Raw genomic sequence first — 7,046 nt, 5'->3', positions numbered from 1 at the left:
AATCTCCTGCTATCAGGTGGAAGTGTAGGTGCTATGGGTGCATCTAGGCAAGGCATTTACACCATTTCTTGAGGAGACAGAAAGCTGCCTAGAGGAAGTGGTGCTATTTTGCCTGAGATCTAAAGGATCCTATTCCAGAAAAGGGTGTGGAGTGGCTCATAAGAAGGGACTTTTTGGGAAGTCACAACAGTAGACAGAGAGTTTTGAGAAAGCACAGCACTTTCACATGGTTTCCTGTGGCTGACATGTAAATTTGAAGGCTGGGCGCAGTGGCTCACGCACGTAATCTCAGCACTTTGGGAGGCCAAGGTGGGAGAATTGCTTGAGCCCAGGAGTTTGAGACCAGCCAGGGCAACATAGCAAGACCCTGTCTCTATAAAAAAAAATTAAAAATTGAAAAAAAAGGGGATTTCCAGCAAGATGTCTGAACAGGAACAGCTCCAGTCTGCAGCTCCCAGCAAGATTGACACAGAAGATGGGCAATTTCTGCATTTCCAACTGAGGTAACTGGTTCATCTCATTGGGACTGGTTGGACAGTGGGTACAGCCCATGGAGGGCAAGCCAAAGCAGGACAGGGCATCGCCTCACCTGGGAAGCACAAGGGGTCACGGGATTTCCCTTTCCTAGCAAACGGAAGCCATGAGAGACTGTACTGGGAAGAACAGTACACTCCTGCCCAGATACTGCATTTTTCCCATGGTCTTCACAACTGGCAGACCAGGAGATTCCCTCCGGTGCCTGGCTCAGCAGGTCCCATGCCCACGGAGCCCAGCAAGCTAAGATCCATTAGCTTGAAATTCTCGCTGCTAGCGCAGCAGTCTGAGATCGACCCAGGACAATTGAGCTTGGCAGGGGGAGGGGCGTCCACCATTGCTGAGGCTTGAGTAGGCGGTTTTATGCTCACAGTGTAAACAAAGCTGCAGGGAAGTTCGAACTGGGCGGGGCCCACCGCAGTTCAGCAAGGCCGACTGCCTCTCTACATTCCACCTCTGTGGGCAGGACATCTCTGAACAAAAGGCAGCAGTCCCAGTTAGGGACTTATAGATAAATCCCCCATCTCCCTGGGACAGAGCACCTGGGCAAAGGGGCAGCTGTGGGCACAGCTTCAGCAGACTTAAACATCCCTGCCTGACAGCTCTGAAGAGAGTAGTGGTTCTCCCAGCACAGCGTCCGAGCTCTGATAACAGATAGACTGCCTCCTCAAGTGGGTCCCTGACCCCCATGTAGCGTGACTGGGAGACATCTCCCAGTAGGGGCCGCCAGACACTCCATACAGGAAAGCTGTGGCTGGCATGTGGCGGGTGCCCCTCTGGGATGAAGCTTCCAGAGGAAGGATCAGGCAGCAATATTTGCTGTTCTGCTGCCTCCACTGGTGATACCCAGGCAAACCTGAGTCTGGAGTGGACCTCCAGCAAACTCCAGCAGACCTGCAGCTGAGGTGCCTGACTGTTAGAAGGAAAACTAACAAACAGAAAGGAATAGCATCAACAAAAGGGATGTCCACACCAAAACCCCATCCGTAGGTAACCAACATCAAAGACCAAAGGTAGATAAAACCACAAAGATGGGGAGAAACAAGTGCAGAAAGGCTGAAAATTCCAAAAACCAGAATGCCTCTTCTCCTCCAAAGGATCACAATCCCTCACCAGCAAGGGAACAAAACTGGACAGAGAATGAGTTTGACGAATTGACAGAAGTAGGCTTCAGAAGTGGGTAAGAACAAACTCCTCCGAGCTAAAGGAGCATGTTCTAACCTAATGAAAGGAAGCTAAGAACCTTGAAAAAAGGTTAAACGAATTGCTAACTAGAATAACCAGTGTAGACAAGAACATAAATGACCCGGTGGAGCTGAAAAATGCACCATGAGAACTTCGTGAAGCATACACAAGCTTCAATAGCCAAATCAATCAAGCAGAAGAAAGGATATCAGTGACTGAAGATCAACTTAATGAAATAAAGCAAGAAGACAAGATTAGAGAAAAAAAGAGTGAAAAGAAACAAACAAAGTCTCCAAGAAGTATGGGACTATGTGAAAAGACCAAATCTACATTTGATTGGTGTACCTGAAAGTGACAGGAGAATGGAACCAAGTTGGAAAACACTCCTCAGGATATTATCCAGGAAAACTCCCCCAACCTAGCAAGGCAGGCCAACATTCAAATTCAGGAAATACAGAGAACACCAGTAAGATATTCCTCGAGAACAACAACCCCAAGACACATAATCATCAGATTCACCAAGGTTGAAATGAAGGAAAAATGTTAAGGGCAGCCAGAGAGAAAGGTCGGGTTACCCACAAAGGAAAGCACATCAGACTAACAGTGGATCTCTCAGCAGAAACCCTACAAGCCAGAATAGAGTGGGGGCCAATATTCAACATTCTTAAAGAATTTTCAACCCAGAATTTCATATCCAGCCAAACTAAGCTTCATAGGTGAAGGAGAAATAAATTCCTTTACAGACAAGCAAACGCTGAGAGATTTTATCACCAACCAGGCCTGCTTTACAAGAGCTCCTGAAAGAAGCACTAAACATGGAAAGGAACGACTGGGACAAGCCACTGCAAAAACATGCCAAAGTGTAAAGACCATCAGCACTATAAAGAAACTGCATCAACTAACGGGCAAAATAACCAGCTAACATCATAATGACAGGATCAAATTCACACATAACAATATTAATCTTAAACGTAAATGGGCTAAATACCCCAATTAAAAGACACAGACTGGCAAATTGGATAAAGAGTCTAGACCCATCAGTGTGCTGTATTCAGGAGAACGATCTCATGTGCAAAGACACACATAGGCTGAAAATAAAGGGATGGAGGAAGATCTACCAAGCAAATGGAAAACAAAAAAAAGCAGGGGTTGCAATCCTAGTCTCTGATAAAACGGACTTTAAACCAACAAAGATCAAAAGAGACAAAGAAGGGCATTACAAAATGGTAAAGGGATCAATGGAACAAGAAGAGCTAACTATCCTAAATATATATGCACCCAATACAGGAGCACCCAGGTTCATAAAGCAAGTTCTTAGAGACCTACAAAGAGACTTAGACTCCCACACAATAATAGTGGAAGACTTTAACACCCCAATGTCAGCATTAGACAGATCAGTGAGACAGAAAATTACCAAATATATCTAGGACTTGAACTCAGCTCTGGACCAAGCAGACCTAATAGACATCTACAGAACTCTCCACCCCAAATCAACAGAATATACATTCTTCTCAGCACCACATCACACTTATTCTAAAATCGGCCACATAATTGGAAGTAAAACACTCCTCAGCAAATGTAAAAGAACAGAAATCACAACAAACTGTCTCTCAGACCACAGTGCAATCAAATTAGAACTCAGGATTAAGAAACTCCCTCAAAACCGCACAGCTACATGGAAACTGAACAACCTGCTCCTGAATGACTACTGGGTAAATAACAAGATGAAGGAGAAATAAAGATGTTCTTTAAGACCAATGAGACATGGCACATGTATACATATGTAACAAACCTGCACATTGTGCACATGTACCGTAGAACTTAAAGTATAATTAAAAAAACAATAATAAATAAAACAAAGATAAAACCAATGAGAACAAAGACACAACATACCAGAATCTCTGGGACACATTTCAATCAGTGTGTAGAGGAAATTTATAGCACTAAGTGCCCACAAAAGAAAGCAGGAAAGAGCTAAAATCGACATCCTAACATCACGACTAAAAGAACTAGAGAAGCAAGAGCAAACAAATTCAAAAGCTAGCAGAAGACAAGAAATAACTAAGATCAGATTAGACCTGAAACAGATAGAGACACAAAAATCCCTGCAAAAAAATCAATGAATCCAGGAGCTGATTTTTTGAAAAGATTAACAAAATAGACCGCTAGCAAGACTAATAAAGAAAAGAGAGAAGAATCAAATCAATGCAATAAAAAATGATAAAGGGGATATCACCACCGATCCCACAGAAATATAAACTACCATCAGAAAATACTATAAACACCTCTATGCAAATAAACTAGAAAATCTAGAAGAAATGGATAAATTCCTGGACACATACACCCTCCCAAAACTAAACCGGGAAGAAGTCAAATCTCTGAATACACCAATAACAGGCTCTGAAATTGAGGCAATAATTAATAGCCTGCCAACAAAAAAAAGCCCAGGACCAGATGGATTCACAGCTGAATTCTGCCAGAGGTACAAAGAGGAGCTGGTACCATTCCTTCTGAAACTATTCCAAACAACAGAAAAAGAGGGAATCCTCCCTAACTCATTTTATGAGGTCAGCATCATCCTGATTCCAAAACCTGGCAGAGACACAACAAAAAAAGAAAATTTTAGGCCAACATCCCTGATGAACATTGATGTGAAAATCCTCAGTAAAATACTGGCAAACCGAATCCAGCAGCACATCAAAAAGCTTCTCCACCATAATCAAGTCAGCTTCATCCCTGGGATGCAAGGCTGGTTCAACATATGCAAATCAATAAGCATAATCCATCACATAAACTGAACCAGTGACAAAAACCACATGATTATCTCAATAGATGCAGAAAAGGCCTTTGGCAAAATTCAACAGCCCTTCATGCTAAAAGCTCTCAATAAACTAGGTATTAATGGAATATATCTCAAAATAATAAGAGCTATTTATGATAAACCCACAGCCAATATCATACTAAATGGGCAAAAACTGGAAGCATTCCCTTTGAACACTGGCACAAGACAAGGATACCCTCTCTCACCACTCCTATTCAACATAGTATTGGAAGTTCTGGCCAAGGCAGTCAGACGAGAGAAAGAAATAAAGGGTATTCAGTTAGGAAAAGAGGAAGTCAAATTGTCTCTGTTTGCAGATGACATGATTGTATATTTAGAAAACCCCAATGGCTCAGCCCAAAATCTCCTTAAGCTGATAAGCAACTTCAGGAAAGTCTCAGGATACAAAATCAATGTGCAAAAATCACAAGCATTCCTATACACCAATAACAGACAAACAGAGAGCCAAATCATGAGTGAACTCCCATTCACAACTGCTACAAAGAGAATAAAATACCTAGGAATACAAGGGATTTATTCCTTGTAGAATACAAGGGATTTATTCCTTGTAGAATACAAGGGATTTATTCCTTGTATTATACAAGGGATGTGAAGGACCTCTTCACAGAAAACTACAAACCACTGCTCAAGGAAATAAAAGAGGACACAAACAAATGGAAGAACATTCCGTGCTCATGGATAGGAAGAATCAGTATTGTGAAAATGGCCATACTGCCCAAAGTAATGTATAGATTTAATGCTATCCCCATGAAGCTACCACAGACTTTCTTCACAGAATTGGAAAAAACTACTTTAAATTTCATATAGAACCAAAAAACAGCTTGCATAGTCAAGACAATCCTAAGCTAAAAGAACAAAGCTGGAGGTATCACCCTACCTGACTTCAAACTATACTACAAGGCTACAGTAACCAAAACAGCATGGTACTGGTACCAAAACAGATATATAGACCAATGGAAAAGAACAGAGGCCTCAGAAATAACATCACACATTTACAAGCATCTGATCTTTGACAAACCTGACAAAAACAAGCAATGGGGAAAGGATTCCCTGTTTAATAAATGGTGCTGGGAAAACTGGCTAGCCATAGGCAGAAAGCTGAAACTGGATCCCTTCTGTACACCTCATACAAAAATTAACTCAAGATGGATTAAAGACTTAAATGTAACACCCAAAACCATAAAAACCCTAGAGAAAACCTAGGCAATACTATTCAGAACATAGGCATGGGCAAGGTCTTCATGACTAAAACAGCAATAGCAATGGCAACAAAAGCCAAAATAGACAAATGGGATCTAATTAAACTAAAAAATTTCTGCACAGCAAGAGAAATTATCAGAGTGAACAGGCAATCTACAGAATGGGAGAAATTTTTTGCAATCTACCCATCTGACAAAGGGCTAATATCCAGACTCTACAAAGAACTTAAACAAATTTACAAAAAAAAAACGAACAACCCCATCAAAAAGTGGGCAAAGGATATGAACAGACACTTCTCAAAAGAAGACATTTATGCGGCCAACAAACTTATGAAAAAATGTACATCATCACTGGTCATTAGAGAAATGCAAATCAAAACCACAATGAGATACCATCTCACGCCACTTAGAATGGTGATCATTAAAAAGTCAGGAAACAACAGGTGCTGGAGAGGATGTGGAGAAATAGGAACACTTTTACATTGTTGGTGGGAGTGTAAATTAGTTCAACCATTGTAGATGACAGTGTGGCAACTCCCCAATGATCTAGAACTAGAAATACCATTTGACCCAGCAATCTCATTACTGGGTATATACCCAAAGGATTATAAATCATTCTACTATAAAGACACATGCACCCGCATGTTTATTGCAGCACTGTTCACAACAGCAAAGTCTTGGAACCAACCCAAATGCCCATCAGTGATAGACTGGATAAATAAAATGTGGCACATATACACCATGGAATACTATGCAGCCATAAAAAAGGATGAGTTCATGTCCTTTGCAGGGACATGGATGAAACTGGAAACCATCATTCTCAGCAAAGTAACACAAGAAGAGAAAACCAAACACCACATGTTCTCACTCATAAGTGGGAGCTGAACAATGAGAACACATGGACACACGGAGGGGACCATCACACACTGGGGCCTGTCAGGGGATGGGGGGCTGGGGGATGGATAGCATCAGGAGAAATACCTAATGTAAATGACGAATTGATGGGTGTAACAAACCTGCACATTGTGCACATGTACCACAGAACTTAAAGTATAATAAAAAAATAAAAATTAAAAAAATTTTTTTAAATTAGCCAGGAGGCTGAGGCAGGATACTCACTGGAGCCCATAGGGTTGAGGCTGCAGTGAGCCCTGTGCCACTGCACTCCAGCCTGGACAACTAAGCAAGATCCTGTATAATTAAAAAATTGTTGAAGGCCAAGAGTATTAGAAGGCTGAACATGATGAGGCAGCACACACTGGATCATGTCTGCAAATGACGGTACT

General features: G+C 41.7%; 1 annotated feature.

Annotated features, from left to right (window-relative positions):
* Positions 840-1,476: an enhancer, noted in NCBI's record as "NANOG-H3K27ac-H3K4me1 hESC enhancer chr10:22802372-22803008 (GRCh37/hg19 assembly coordinates)". NCBI's record gives its function as "activates a minimal SCP1, AML or CMV promoter by ChIP-STARR-seq in naive H9 embryonic stem cells {active_cell/tissue: H9 hESC(naive)}" and the evidence as "EXISTENCE:reporter gene assay evidence [ECO:0000049][PMID:30033119]".

Source organism: Homo sapiens, chromosome 10, assembly GCF_000001405.40.
Source record: "Homo sapiens chromosome 10, GRCh38.p14 Primary Assembly".
Taxonomy (NCBI): Eukaryota; Metazoa; Chordata; class Mammalia; order Primates; family Hominidae; genus Homo; species Homo sapiens.
The sequence above is the reverse complement of the archived record's forward strand: the minus strand, read 5'-3'. Positions and strand labels throughout refer to the sequence as shown.